At 40.8% G+C, this 15,941-nt stretch overlaps 1 protein-coding gene across 36 annotated transcripts in view; it reads left to right on the plus strand.

Moving 5' to 3' along the window:
• The window catches only part of ARID1B (AT-rich interaction domain 1B), a 434,754-nt gene that overhangs the window by 142,838 nt on the left and 275,975 nt on the right, over positions 1-15,941 (plus strand). The window lies entirely within an intron of this gene.

Below are 15,941 nucleotides of genomic sequence, written 5' to 3' on the forward strand. Positions count from 1 at the left end.
AGTGACCTTCCTCTCTCTGTTCCCTTTTTCTCCCTTGGGGGAAAAACTAGTATAGTAAAAGCTCAGCACTCGTTTTGAATATAGGTGTAATTTGCTGCGTTAACAGTTTCAGTTTATTGTGTGTTTTGGTGGCGTTATTCCTGAAAGCTTCTTAAAATAAAAAAAGTAGAAAAAAAGACCCATTGAAGAATGAAGAAAAATAACATTTTGAGAATGTTAGAATGTCTTTTGGTATGAATTTGGTTTTCTTAATTGCTGTAGAAATCAGGGTGAATCTGTAGTTAGTTGCAACTATGTCTGCCTGGGCCTTTGCTTTTCCTTAATAGTAGCAGAAGAAAGCAAGAGAAAAATCCTCAGATTTTATACACATCACTTCTAGTATCGAAGCATTTTTGGCTTTTAATGGAAAACTTTCAGTGTTTTTTTAATATGTTTTGAAGTATAATTGGGAATTTAATTGCATTGGATCATAATTTGATAATGCTATGTATTCATTTTCATATTTAACATATATTTTAAGTTTTTTTTTTCTTTCTAGTACCAGAATTAAAACCAGGAAGTGAGGAATTATATAGTAATAATATTTTCAATACTAATTTTAGAAAGGGGATGGAAGGCTCCTCCTGAGAAGAGTAGCCAGGAAGCCAGGCAGGCCTGGAGTGTGTGGCCAGCTGTGTCCTGGTTTGAAGCATCTCAGACACTGTTGGGCAGCTGCTTAGCCCAGTTTAACTGAAATGTGGAGGAGATCACATCAGCTGGGCATGACTGTCTACCATGGAGGCAGGAGAGGAAAACCTTAGATTGTTGAAGATGTATTTCTTAGTTGGGCGTGTTAGCGGACATCTGTAGCTCCAGCTGCTCAGGAGGCTGAGGCAGGAGGATCCCTGAGCCCAGGAGTTCAAGGCTGCAGTGAGCTCTGATCGCACCACTGCACTCCAGCCTGGGTCACAGAGTGAGACCTTGGCTCTTTAAATGAATGAATGAATGATATATTTCATCAAAGGCTAAAGAAAAACTTCAAACACCTTAAGAGGAGGGTTTAGTCTAAAGAGCAATTAAGCTTCACCTCCTTCTCTGATCCTAACACTGCTATAACTAACTGTAGGTGGGTGATCCCTCTCTCCCGCCAGAGGAGGATTTATGGAATTGAACCAGATGTCTTCACGCATGAGTGGACATTGCCTTGTTCTCTAGTTTTTAGTCCTAGTTCCCCAGACTCAGCAGCCAGTGGAAGAAGAAGCCTGCTCTTCTAAACCAGAAAGTTGGGTAGAACTGGCGCTCTCCGAGCAAGCCTCCTCATTGCACCCCTTCACCTCCCTCCCCTTCAGCTCCCTGGGCCTGACAGCCCATCTGTCTTCCTCTCTGATACCCTGCTCCTGCCCCCATTGGTATTGAGGGATGAAGTTGGGAAGAGAATGCAGTGTGCAGTTAAAAGTATCATCGAGGCTCATTATATATTCACTAATTCTCTTTCCTTGATATTTATATTCTGACACAAGGGAAATTGGGGAATTATTTTTTTCCTGGATTGTTTTTTTGCTACTCTCAGCTGCTTTCATTTGTCTTTAACATGCTCATTTCAATATGTTAAACTATGAAAAATGAAATAAAACATAATTTATACATAAAGTTCTTTCTTCATCAGTTTCTTTGATTTTTAAAATTTTTAATTAGAGTAACAAGCTCTATGTATATTGTATTCCAGAGGAAGATTATCTTCAGATGTTTGAAATGTAGCATTATTTTTAGCATTTGCTAATGTGGGCAGTGGTCACCTTTTTCTTTTTTTCTGCAAAAGAAAGAACAGAACCAGCTTAGGTCACTGATTGATTTTCCCCAAAGTGCTAGGCTTTTGGGAGAGGAATGGGTTTATGTCTCTTTGCATTAGCCTAGGGAGACAGAAGAAGATGGTGTCAGGAAGTCGGGCAGGGAAGGCCCTTTGGTATGTATACAGCTGTGGTTTTCTTTTCTTTCTCTTTTTCTTGTTCTTTTCTTTTCTTTTTTTTTTTTGACAGAGTTTCACTCTCGTTGCCCAGGCTGGAGGGCAGTGGTGCAATCTCAGCTCACCACAACCTCCGCCTCCCAGGTTCAAGTGATTCTCCTGCCTCAGCCTCCTGAGTAGCTGAGGGATTACAGGCAGTAATTAATTAATTAATTAGCAGGGGGACTCCAGGACCCTGGACCCCACTGTTTTACCAGTTGCCAAATATTTGGTGTATCTTCCTTGCTTGAAAGCAGTAGTTCTCATGTCTGCTTTCCTTATGGAAGAGCAGTGGGGGATTAACTTCAGGATGAATATATTAGTCACCTTGCTTGGAAAGTTGGAGGTGTTCATTTTAACATAAAGTGGGATGAATATATAGCTTGCCCTCCTTGGAAAGTTGGAGGTGTTTAACATAAAGTGACTAAAGAAATAAATAAAGTGGGTAAATAAATAAATTTTATTTTAATTTAATTTTGATGTAATTGATGATAATTTCAGATTTCTGGAGTCATCTTTATGTTTTTTCCCAAATGGAAATTTGACTGTTTAAAAGGTAAAAAGTCTTCTACAGTAATAGCACTTGATGGGAAAACACACACACACACACACACACACACACACACACACACACACACACACACACACAAAATGTAAGGGAATCTCTAAAAAATTCACATTTTCTGCTATTTCTTGGAGAAGGGGGATGCCTGTGGCCTGTCTACTTTCGTAGAAGATTGGTAAAGTTGATACTAATTGGATGCTAAGTTCTTTTTAGTATATTGTTTTTCTGAAAGTCTGTACTCTTAGAGTGGGGAAGAGATAATTTAGTAGATCAAATGATCCATTTTAACATCTTGTAAAAAGTTCAAAAAGTAATACATATTTGTAAAAAAAATTCAGCAGAATCCTTGTGCTTCTTGCATTTTGAAAGCATTATTGATACAATGCAAAACAACAGAATCTTCTTTATCTTTTATTGTCTTTGGCTGTTTCTTCTGTTTCTCTAGCTTTTTTTTTCTTTTTCTTTCCTTCAGTTATTTTAGCTTTCATTCCATAGGCATTTCACAGAGAAATCAGACAACTTTTGAGATTAACCCCCTCAGCAGTTTTAGGGATGAATTGGCAAGACAGGCTTTTGAGGCAGGATCTTTCTGGCACTTTACTTCACTCTCTTTGGCAAAAAGAAGGTCTGTACCTCTTTATCCAGCACGCGGGTTCAGGAGCTCTGTCTCAGCAGGTCACTGTCATGCCACTTGCAACCCCCCATGGTATTCATCTAAGTGAAGAGTGTGGATAATAACGTAAGGGGTCCTGTATAGGTTGCCCTTTTTTTTTTTTTTTTGGAGATGGAGTCTTGCTGTGTCGTCCAGGCTGGAGTGCAGTGGTGCAATCTCAGCTCACTGCAACCTTTGCCTCCCAGGTTCAAGCAGTTCTCCTGTCTCAGCCTCCCAAGTAGCTGGGGTTACAGGTGCATGCCACCGTGCCCAGCTATTTTTTGTATTTTTAGTAGAGATGGGGTTTCACCATGTTGAACAGGCTGGTCTCGAACTCCTGACCTTAAGTGATCCGCCCGCCTCGGCCTCCCAAGGTGTTGGGATTACAGGGTGAGTCACCATGCCTGGCCTAGGTAGCTCTTTAGACTAGAGTTACTTAAGCAGTCTGGGCTTTTATTGCATGTTTAATTCAGATACTAATGGCATATTTGCAAATTCTTAAGTAATTTTTATTTGTGTTTCAGTTATTTAGAAAAGTATTACAATGTTGAATGTGGTTATTTGCAGCTAATCTGGTTCAAAACATCTCTATGAAATTATGATGTTTTCAGTTTTGGTAAATCCCATTGTTGATTATCTCTGTTCTTACCCTTTAATCTTTCTGGAGTCTTTGAGAATCTGGTAAAAGCTACAGATTCTCCTCCCAGACAAATACATGCATCACAGAGTTGCTGTATTCTCAGGGGAGTGTTCAAAGACCTTCTACTCCAGGTCAAGAATTCAGGCCCTAGATATGAGTTATGGTCCCAGTGTGGGGTAGGAAGAACTGATGTTGCTAGTTTCTGAAGGCCTCCTGTGGCCCTCCAGGTCTGTGGCTCGTGTGCCGGAAGTAGTCTGCTTCTTGGTTGGGAGAAGAAGGGGCTTGGGTTCTTGGAGCAAGAATCAGCCTTCCAAGTGTGAGATGCCAGTGCAGGGCCATGTCATTGAAAAGCTGATGATGATCTTCTCAAGTTGTTGCTTTAACCACAGTAAGACAAATAAGACCATCCCTGGCCCAAGGAGGATAGGTGAAGGGTGGGTGGACAGGTATCTACCTGGGAAATTAGCCATTGTTAATGTTACAGCAAAATGCCCTATTACAGATGCTAGGTAATGGAGTAATATCCAAAACCCCACATTGTAGGACTCACTTAATTATCATAATTTAATGAAAATATAACACTGTATTTAATCAACAGTCCTCGAAATTTATAGACAAATCTGGGAAATTCAGATTCCTGGACCCCATCCTCCGGTTGGGAATTGTCAGCTGTCAGGTAGGGTCCAGAAGTGCCTCCTTATCTGGTGGGTGGGAGCATCGTTAAGTGCACACACTCTAGAGAAAGAATATCTTGGTTCCCATCCCTTCTCCACCACTTGCCAACTGAGTGACCTTGGCAGGTTACTCAACCTAATTTTCTTCATAAGTAAAATAGTACTTACTTTATGGGGTCAGTGTGGAAATCAAGAGTTTATTGTATGAGTAAAGCACTTAGGAGAGTACCTGATAGATGGTGTGATGTAGAATTATTAGCAGCTGCTGTTACTACCAACACTGTCCTCAGCATCATGGCCACTGGATAAAGTTCTATTAGTTGATTCTCTTTTTTTTTTTTTTTTTAAAGACAGAGTCTTGCCCTGTTGCCCAGGCTGGAGTGCAGTGGTACAATCTCGGCTCACTGCATCCTCTGCCTTCTCCCAGGTTCAAGTGATTCTCATGCCTCAGCCTCCCAAGTAGCTGGGGTTACAGGTGTGCGCCACCATGCCCAGCTAATTTTTGTAGAGACAGGTTTCACCGCGTTGGCCAGGCTGGTCTTAAACTGATCTCAGGCGATCTTCCTGCCTCAGCCTCCCAAAGTGCTGGGATTACAGGCATAATCTATGGTGCCCAGACTGATTCTCATTCTTAAATATGCTTTTAAAAATAACAATAGCTGACATCTGTGAACATTTAAATGGCACCAGGCACAGTGCTAATTGCTTGAAGGCAGTGTGTCATGATCATGAATACAACCTTAGAAGGTAGGTTCCTGTATCTTAGTAGCAGGTCCCTTATACAGTCATCCCCCTTGTCAGCCAGGGGATGGGATAAGTTCCAAGACCCCCAGTGGATGCCTGAAAGTGTGGATAGTACTGAACTCTGTGCATACTATGCACAAATTTCTTTTTCCTTTACAGTTTCAAGGATAAAAGATTCATTCTTTCCCTAGATCTTAGCAACCTCAGGATGTGCTATTTTTTTCTTTGCTTATTAAGTCAAGAACTTTTCACTTAAAGGAAGTAGTTTACAGCTTCTCTTTGGCTGACTGATTGCCAGCATCACTATTCTGGTGCCTTGGGGCCATTATGAAGTAAAATTAGCGTGATTTGAACACAAGCACTGATACTGGATCTGGTAACAGCTCCTAAGTGACCAGTGGATGGGAAGCGCCTGCAACGTGGATTGCCTCACAAAGGGAGGAGTCACATCCAGGCGGGCAATTTAAAATTGTGAATTGTTTATTTCTGGAATTTTTTCCCTTTAATATTTTTGAACCACAGTTGACCATGGGTAACTGAAATCATGGACAGCGAAACCGTGGGTAAGGGTGGTGGGGAGCTACTGTATCTTGGTTTTATGGATGAGGAAAGGAATTATTTAGGTAATAAGTTATAGGGAGCTGAGATTCTTGGATGTTGTATAGATTTTTAAAAATTATTAGATACATTACTTTTTCCCTACAAAAAGTATAGAGAGCAGAACATTTACTGTGGCTCATTTGCCTTTATGACTTTATTAAAATACATTCATTATTAAAAATCTTAACTAGTCTTTAGTCTTGCCTATCATTATGTTGATTATTTTAGGAAAATTAATTTTAGGCAACCATGTGGCTTCCTTTCTCATTCTGAGCCCACTGTTAGTTTAGGAAGAAGTCTTATGAAAACTTCTTTCCTACGAAAGAAGGCAAATTTAAAAGCTTGTCTTAAGTTTTGAATATAAATTAGCAGCCTCTAGGATTCTTGCTTCTTAAGCTTAGGGGAGATGGCTGCTCTTGGTATTGCTCTGTTCTTTTCTTCCATATCCCCTCAGGGTTCCTCTATACTGAAGCCAGGGACTGCAGGTCCTTGTTTACATGGGTGTCCTGTGCCATGGTGACATTCTGTGAATTGCAGGCGTTTTGCAGTGTTGAGTCCTTTGTCAGTAAGACTGAGACTTATCAGTAAGAAAGCATCATGAAGTAGCTTATACAAGCCTGTCCTTTTTCTAGAATGGTTTTTTGTTGGGTATGGTGCCACACACCTGTAGTCCCAGCTACTCAGGAGGCTTAGGAGAAAGGATCCACTGAGCCCAGGAGTTTGAGTCACAGTGAGCTATGATTGTGCCACTGCAGTCCAGCTTGGGCACCACAGTGAGACCCTTTCTCTAAAAAAAAGAAAATTATAAAAAGGTTTTAAAAAAGTCTGGAAATAATTATTCCTTTGAATTGATAGAAAATAAATAATATCCTGAATATTCTTTGGACTCATTAATAATATATATAGTTTATTAGAAGGAATATGGCTTTAAGCTTCTAATTGGCCTCTGGGATTAGTTGCAGTTAAAAAGCATTTGCAGTTTAGACATGTGATTTTTATCTAAACTAAAAGATTTTTGGAGCAGAGGGGAAGGGAAACTATCGATGTGGACTGGGAAAAATTGAAGGGATTTAGTAGTCTTCTGAACAGATAATGAACAGTACTCATCATGGCACATGCAAGAGACCCATTCCACCCCTGTTCTTTGAGCACCATGAGCCTGAGATAGACAAGCAGGAGGAGTGAAGGCACATGTGATGCACTCGTAGTCTGCATAGGCCATTGCCACCCAGTATGGCTGGTGGAATAGGAAACTAAGCTGTTTGGAGTCATACAGCTGATGAATAGTGAAGTTGGCATTTGAATTTGGGTTTGTCTGAACTCAAAGATTCAAGGTCCTTAGAAGAGATCTGTGGCTGCATAAGGCTTCTTGGAGCTGGTGAAATAGGACACCAGGCCTTTAAGAGGTGGGGTTAAGATAAAGTCAGAGTGTGAGATTTAGGCTGGGAGGGCACCTTCAGCTGAGATCAAAAGATTGAACAAGGATCACTGAGTCAACAAGAAGAGCAGGTTTTACTTTGGGAACCTAGGGGAAAAATGAAATTGTTAAGGTTAATTTGGTTAAGATCATGGAGGGGTTTTGTTTTGTTTTGTTTAGGATAGCTAAGCATTAGGATTTAATAGTGCAGCAAACATGTTAAAAATAGGTGGGGGCATTATGAAACAGAAAGATTGAAAGTTCTATGGTTAATGCTTAATGTATGTTCACAGGGGAGGAGGTTGGAGGCATAGTTTTTCAGATGAAAGCCAGAGTCAGTCTCAGCCCCACTCTAGGTTCATGAAGTTGCCTTTCATACCATTAACTTCATTCAGTTTCCTTTAAAAGGAAATTTCCAAATGTAAACAGAAGTAGATAATGGTGTAATTAATCTGGCACACGTCACTCCACCTTCATCTTGTTTCACCTCTGTCTCCCCCTTCTCATCCCCGTATCCCCTGTCCCTTTTATTATTTTGAAGTAAATTCCAGATGTTACTATTTTGAGAAGGAGTCTCTCTCTGTTGCCCAGGCTCGGGTGCAGTGGTGAGGTCTCGGCTCACTGCAACTTCGCCTCCCAGGTTCAAGTGATTCTCCTGCCTCAGCTTCCCGAGTAGCTGGGATTACAGGCACTGCCACCATGCCTGGCTAATTTTTTGTATTTTTAGTAGAGACAGGGTTTCACCATGTTGGCCAGGCTGGGCTCGAACTCCTGACGCCGTGATCCGCCTGCCTTGGCCTCTCAAAGCACTGAGATTACAGGTGTGAGCCATCATGCCTGGCCCAGATGTTGTATCATTTCATTGGTAAATATTTCAGTATGTGCCTTTAAAAGATAAAGAACTTTAAAAAAGAGACATAATACAGTTATCACTATTAAAATATAATTTATTCCTATCAATTATCCAGTATTCAAATTTCCAATAATCTCATAAATGGAATATATATTATTGTTTAATTTACATTGTGGGGTAGTTTGAATCAGGATCCAAATAAAGTGTTAACAATTTGTTGTTATCTTTTAATTACTCTTCATTTCTAGGATTTTCCTCCATCTCCTCTCCTTCTCGTCCTCTCACTTTTCATTTTTTTCTGTTGCCATTTATTTATTGAAACTGGGACATTTGTCTAGTAGAGATTCCCACAGCCTGGGATTTCCTGATTGATTTGCAATGGTTTAACATGTTGCTTGGACCTTTTTATTTCCTATAAATTAGTGGTTTGATCTGCAGGTTTTGTCAAACTCATCATTTTTTGGGAGGTGGGATATTTTATTCCTGATCTGTTTTTTGGTAAGCATCAAATGTCTTGATCCCCACCCCACCCCCGCTTCTGGTGGCATTATTGATGCTCTCTGCAGTCTTAATTTCCAGTATATTTTTACTGCATTATTTTGCAGTCATCCTTTTGCCATAAGACTGCCAGTAACAAACAGCAAAATGTGTTCTGTAGCACATTTACCAGGCAGAGTAGCTGCTAACATGATAAATATTCTTGGATGTGTGCCCAAGTTTTGTTCAGTTTTATGTGTTTGTCCTTATACATTTGTTTTTGTGTTGCTGTGTCTAATTCTAAGTATAAGCTCCTAGAAACCATTCAGTCATTCACCTGGCTTTTATCCAGTACCCATCCTTGCTGGGCCCTTGGGAATCCAAGACGATAGCATCCCCGTCTTAGAAAAATGGTGTCCAGTTTGGGATACACCACAAATAGTTAATATATGGCATTCTAAGTTCTTTAAGAGGAGCCCATTTGAGGTTGGTTTGAGGTAGTTGTTTTGGAGGGTGATAGGGTTAACTTCTAGCAGGATCTTGAGGACAGTAAGGAGGAGGAAGGGCATCCACTTGGACTGGCTGAAAGGCACCGAGGAGCAGTGGCCGCATGGCCCATGGGACCCGAGCAGCTGAACAGGTGAAGTACGGTTTTGCCCCACACCCTGGGGCCGGCCCTGTAGAAGCTGACCTGGTGGCCGGAGGGTGCCTGAAGAGCTCTTCTGAGCCCAGACTGGGACTTAAACTTCCTTCTGTAGGCCTTCGGGAGGCATTTTCTGAGCACTTGTATTTGAGGAAGTCAGCAGCATTGACCGCAGTGCAGGTGTCTGCCATCGGATCAGGAGGAAGGGGATGGACTGGGTGATGATTTGGGCTTTGGTGATGTGTCAGACGTGCACAGATTGTAGAAGAGATAATGAGTTGTGTGGGGTGGCTCTGAGCAATCTCATTTGGGTGCTCTCCTTCGGTGAGGTGGGGGCCCAAGGGAGAAGGAACAGGTCTGTGGGGTCATTTGGGAGAGTCATTTCTTGACCCGATGAGTGCAAGGCACTCTCTCCAGAGGTCCAAACATTAAGGATGCAGTTAAGGACCTCCTGTAGAGATTTGGGAATCACCACCAAGCAGGGGGCCACATGGAGTCCTTGGGGTACAGACACTTGAGGGGCCCCCATTCTTAAAGGACAGGGAGAAAGAGAAGAGCCGGTAGAGGATCCTTAAAGAACATAATCTGGCAGGCGGGCCCCTTCACCTGGCTTGCCAGCCAGCCTGTAGGCTTCTGGTAATGCTTGATGATAAGGAGTGTGGCTTTGCCTTCACACCTGTGGAAGAGAATTTTTCATTTTCGCATTTCTTACTTATTCATGTTACTGGAATTGATGTTTTAGAAGTGTTCCACGTATAAACTACTTAAGATTATAATTTTTCAAAAGAGAATTTAGGGGAATATATGAAGCCCAGGATAAAACCTTAAAAAGCTAAAATTATATTCAATCCCTTATTATGTGATAGTGTTTGAAGCTTCCAGTTGTCTCTAGTGTACAGTTATTATAGAAATGAAGAGATATCCATCACTTTCAGTTACTCCAGCCTAGTGCTCATAAGCTAGCTCTGCAAATGACTTCAGTTTTTGTTTCCTGGTAGGAAAAAACGAGGTAACAATAGCAACTATCTTGTGGTGGTGTCGTTAGGATGAACCGTGCACACTACCTCTGTGCACAGTACCTGTCACAAGTCCCCTCTTGCGAATATGAGCTGTCAGTGGGGCTTTCCTGAGGTGGCAAGGGCTGAGCATGCCATCCTTGATGTGCATGTTGTATGGATTTATATCGCTTTCCTTTTGGAAATGATATTTGAAATTCATCTACACACAGAAAGTGGAGGGAGGTCAATAATATGCCAAATGTCTGAAGCCTAGGGATGATTTCACGAACTGTGGCAGGCTGTGTGGCCACCAGGCATCCTCTCTGTGGAAGTGGTCGCAGCCACCTCTCCCCCACCCTCACATGTTGGGGATAGGCTTCTGTTTCCCTTTTACGATTTGGAATTGGTGATAGGGAATTTCCAAAGCACAAAGAGAAAAGGATCAAGAAATTATTGAGACTACTCAAATCGTCATTCATTCCCTCATTCTGAATTATTGCAAGATAATAACAATGTGGCCATCTTAACTCTCTTCCTAGCATATCTATACTTGATGTGAGGATTGGAAAAACTTTTCTTAAATAACATGACAGTTATCACTTATTCCAGATCCAGACACCATGGAGGCTCTGTTGCATTTTGTTTCTGACCTGACGCTCTTTGTTGGATTTTGCTGGCATCTAGAGGCCTCCTCACTGACCTCTTACTAGGTGCCATTGCCATTTGTTTGTCAAGGACCAAGGTGCTCCTTTCCCTCCTCCATTCCTCCATCATCTGTTAGTTTATAGTCTGTATGCTCTTAAATTCTTTTTTTTTTTGGTTACTGTCTACCTATCTTCCCACTCATCCCCTGCTCTGGTTTTGCTACTTTTTATGATGTAGTTTGACACCTGGAGTAAGTTTTGTTCTATTCCAGAATGATGGACTGTAAGTGTAAATTGATACTTCCTTTGTTAAGAACAATTTGCCAGTATATATTAACATTTCAAATGTAGCAATCTGATACAGTTTGGATCTGTGTCTCCACCCAAATCTCATGTCTAATTGTAATCCTTAATGTTGGAGGTGGGGCCAGGTGGGAGAGGATTGGATCATGGGGGCGGTTTCTCTTGAATAAGGTTTCAGACCATCCTCTTGGTGCTGTTCTCGTGATAGTGAGTGAGTTCTCATGAGACCTGGTTGTTTAAAAGTGTGTAGCACCTCCCTGCTCTCTCCCTTGCTGCTCCCACTGTGTGAGCCACCTCACTCCCCTTTTGCCTTCCACCATGATTGGAAGCTTCCTGAGGCCTCCTCAGAAGCAGAAGCTGCCATGCTTCCTGTACGGCCTGCAGAACTGTGAGCCAATTACACCTGTTTTCTTTATAAATTATGCAGTCTTAGGTATTTCTTTATAGCAGTGTGACAATGGACATATACAACCCTTTGACAGAAATTTCACTTGTAAAGATTGATGCTACAGAGATTTTCATGTGAAGATATATGCGTAAGGATGCTTACTATAGTGCTGTATGAAGAACGGAAGACTGGAAACAACCTAAATGTACATCAATAAGTGACTGGTTAAATACGTTACTCCACCTACAAATAATGCAATGTTGTGTGGCCATAAAAAAAAAGAATAAAGTAGATATTTAGTTGCAGATATAGAATGAGCTCTACAATATATTAAGAGGCTGAACAACGTGCTGTTTACAGAAAATATGCTCTAGTTGTATATAAAGGAAAAAGGATTTAAATTCACATTTAAACTTGGTAACACATTGAAAAATTGCAGAAAGGTAAATAAAAAAATCCAAAGCTAGGCCAGGCAGAGTGGCTTATGCCTGTAATCCCAGCACTTTGGGAGGCCAAGGCGGGCAGTTCACAAGGTCAGGAGATAGAGACCATTCTGGCCAACACAGTGAAACCCCATCTCTACTAAAAATACAAAAAATTAGCCAGGTGTGGTGGCACATGCCTGTAGTCCCAGCTACTCGGGAGGCTGAGGCAGGAGAATCTCTTGAAACCGGGAGGCAGTGCTTGCAGGGAGCCGAGATTGCGCCCACTGCACTACAGCCTGGACTACAGAGCGAGACTCAGTCTCAAAAAAAAAAAAAAAAAAAAAAAATTCAAAGCTTATACCATGGGAATGTTTTCCCTTTTTAATTTTTTAAAAAGTGTCTTTGACGTTTTGGTTATTCTGCATTTTATTCAAAGTTACATATTGCTATTTGGATTTTATTCATTTCCTAATGAAAGAAAACAGAAGCACTCCTGCTCCTGGCCTTTCTACTAGGCCCTTGTAATAGTTATCTTTACCCTTTCCTGTAGTAGAAGTGGGATACTAGTGTTTTCCTCCTGGTCATGTTTCATTTCATACTGTGATATGTTCAAGTACCTCGCAAAGGGAATAAGCCCATAGTAGGCATTCAGTCAGCGTCTACGACATTTGTTACAAGAGGCCTGGGCACAGTGGCTCATTCCTGATTTTCAGCACTTTGGCAGGAGAATCACTTGAGGCCAGTAGCTGGAGACCAGCCTGGGAAGTATAGTGATACCCCATCTCTCAAAATATTAAAAAAATAAATAAATTAGGCCGGGCACGGTGGCTCACGCCTGTAATCCCATCACTTTGAGAGGCCGAGGCAGGCTGATCACTTGAGGTTGGGAGTTTGAGACCAGCCTGACCAACATGGAGAAACCCCATCTCTCCTAAAGATACAAAATTAGCAAGGCATGGTGGCGCATGCCTGTAATCCCAGCTACTCGGGAGGCTGAGGCAGGAGAATCGCTTCAACCCGGGAGGTGGAGATTGCGGTGAGCTGAGATTGCGCGATGCACTCCAGCCTGGGCAACGAGAGCAAGATTCCGTCTTAAAAAAAAAAAAAAAAAAAAAAAATCAGCCAGGCATAGTGGTATGTGCCTGTAGTCCTAGCTACTAGGGAGGCATGGGTGGGCTGAGGCAGGAGAATTGCTTGAGCCTGGGAGTTAGAGGCTACAGTGAGCTATGATTAGGCTGAGCCACAGATCGAGACCTTGTTTCTTAAAAAAAAAAAAAAGGGGGGGGGCGGGGTGAAGAAATACCAAACTGAAAATTTCTGAAACAAATGTGTAATTACTACTACGCTAAACTTTTTTCACACCTTTGTTTGTGAGTCAGTTTCCCTTTAACCTTTGACTCGTAACATAAAGAAGGTTAAGGCCAGAGTCCATCAATGGTTAAAAGATTGTGAGTGAGATGTAGAAAAACAGTACTGATGAATTCTGAAAGGGGAAACCTCATTTCCATTGCCTGGTTCTTGTGCATTGCAGTATTACCACAATATGGCATTCTATACAGCAGATAAATGTAATTATTTATATGTGTATATTGGTTTACACACTGGTGTTCACTGGCTGCTTAAACTTACAAATAACCAAAGATGGCAGTAATGTTTTAAAGTGTAAAGCTGTGCTTCTTTGTTTATAAAATATGATGCTGAACATATTCTTTATTTTCTGATACTGTCATTGCCTTTTTACTGTGTATTTGCTCTTCTTGAGATGAAAATAAGTATGTACCAAAAAATAAATATAGCTTTTTAAGATGAAAAAGCTCAAGTTTCTTATGGAATATTTTTATATCATTATTAAAACAGCCAAACAGACTTTATAGTCCCACTGTAAGTTATATGTAGTTGTTGATTGTTCTAGGTTTAAACTTGGCACCTTTTCTATGTGCTCCCTTATTAAATTAATACTTATGTTCAAACATAAGCTGAGGCAGAACACGTTTCCTTTTCAATAGTTCTCACTAAATTTTGTTTTGATTTTATTTCCAACTGTACTTAATAGCTGAAAGCTTCTTGTGGTTAGGAATAGTATTTGAGATTTTGGTGGCATCTAATTATTTTGAACTTTTAAAGCCTTAAAGAGTGAAATATAAGGCCACAATACATTTTTCTGATAGCTTTCATAGTCTGTTAGTCTGTGTTGCTTATTTTAGGGGGACGATGTCTAAATTGAAATGTTTATCCACTATAGTTGTAATGATCTTTTTCAGCCTCTTTAGAAAGCAGTTCATTGAGCGAAGAAGAGAAAATAAAAAGAAACATAAAAGGGTAATATGCATAGGACTTTTGAGCCTGTTACTATTTCCTAGCTGAAGTTTACTTTAAAAAAAAAAAAGTAGGCATTGGGCAGACACTGTGTGCACGTGTGTTGGAGGAGGAGGCGGGGCCTGCTCATTTGTTTGCCCATTGTGAGGCTGTCCTGCACCTTTGTGCTTTTTTGTAACAGGGTGAAGGCCCCTGAATAGAGGCCTTGTGCCCTGCTTGATTTGAAATCCATGCTGTTTATGGAAAGGAACCTGCAGGGCACCCAGCGGGAAGTCTGTGTGACAAGTGGAAATCTAGAATCTGGAAGAAACGTGGTGTTTGAGGGGGAAGGTGGTGGGGAGAGTGGTCATAATCTTTCAGCCTTTGCTTTTGTGCCCCACAAGCTTAATTGTCACCCTCTGCTGGCAACCAGATTGCAGAGCCACTCTGTAAGTGTCCTTGGATTGCCTGTGCTTACTCTCACCTTATTGTTATCAAATAAAAACCTAGACAAATAGCATTGAATTCTCTTAGAAAAATATGATATGAACTGGGTACATTACTAGTAGAGGTTAAATATCTGAGGCTTTTTTTGTTTGTTTTTTGTTTGTTTGTTTTTTTGGTGGAGATGTATTTAAAGGGAAGAAGGGCTACATGTGAAAAGCTGGAATTATTGGCACGCTCCTGTATTTCAGAGCGTGTTGAAAAGCAGGTCGCACCAACACTAGGCTGGTTAAATCCAGTTTGTACAGCTTGTGTACTTGGTGGTACCAGCTATTGCTCCAAAGTTTCCTGGCTTAAGAAGCCATGTAATTTTAAGTGTGCAAGAAAGGGGTGGGACAGCAGAAGCTTTTTATAGGATTTCAAGTAATAAACATTAATTTTTAAAGCAATATTCCAGGGACTTAACAGAAGTAGAACTTGTATATGATGTTTCTTTAATACCAACACATATTTGAACTGACAAGGGAAGGGAGATAATTTTATTTTAAAGCAATATTTTCCATTCTTTTTTTCTCTTCAATTAGAAACTGGTTCTTCAACTTTCAGTGCCAATTGAGACATGCTATAATAAGTATTTAACAATTCTGTCCTGCTGTTTGACTTCAGGGGGAAACGATGGTAGAATGTTTAGTAGCTGAGCATACACAGGTAGCTAGAGATCTGGTATACAGTAAATGTGGTGTGGTGTGGTATTTGGGTTATATATGCTAATTATTTCAGCACAATGCTGAAACCATGCAGAATACCTCTTGGAAGAGTGTTTGACAAGATGCCAGAAAGGCCGTGTTAATTATAAGTTTATTGTGCCTATTCAGGTTTTTTGGGTGTGTTTTGTTCCCCACTGTTGTTTTATTCTTTATGATGGTTCTCTGAAAACTATGCCCCATGAACATATGGAGTTCTATATATGCGTGTTTATTGGTTTTATAGAAACCTCAGGATCCTATGAGCTTAATAACGATTTACGCTGTTATGTGGGTAATTGAGAGGACCTGTTAAGATATAGTTGATAGTAAGGTTTTCGTTAGTTATTTCAACTTTTTGAGGTAATATTAAAGGCAGTTTGACCAAAATCGGAATTCAACAATCCAGGGAGCTTTTGGTTTGCTCTGGGTTCACTCTGGGTTTAAAGACAGTT

This window comes from Homo sapiens, chromosome 6, assembly GCF_000001405.40.
Source record: "Homo sapiens chromosome 6, GRCh38.p14 Primary Assembly".
NCBI classification, from domain to species: Eukaryota; Metazoa; Chordata; class Mammalia; order Primates; family Hominidae; genus Homo; species Homo sapiens.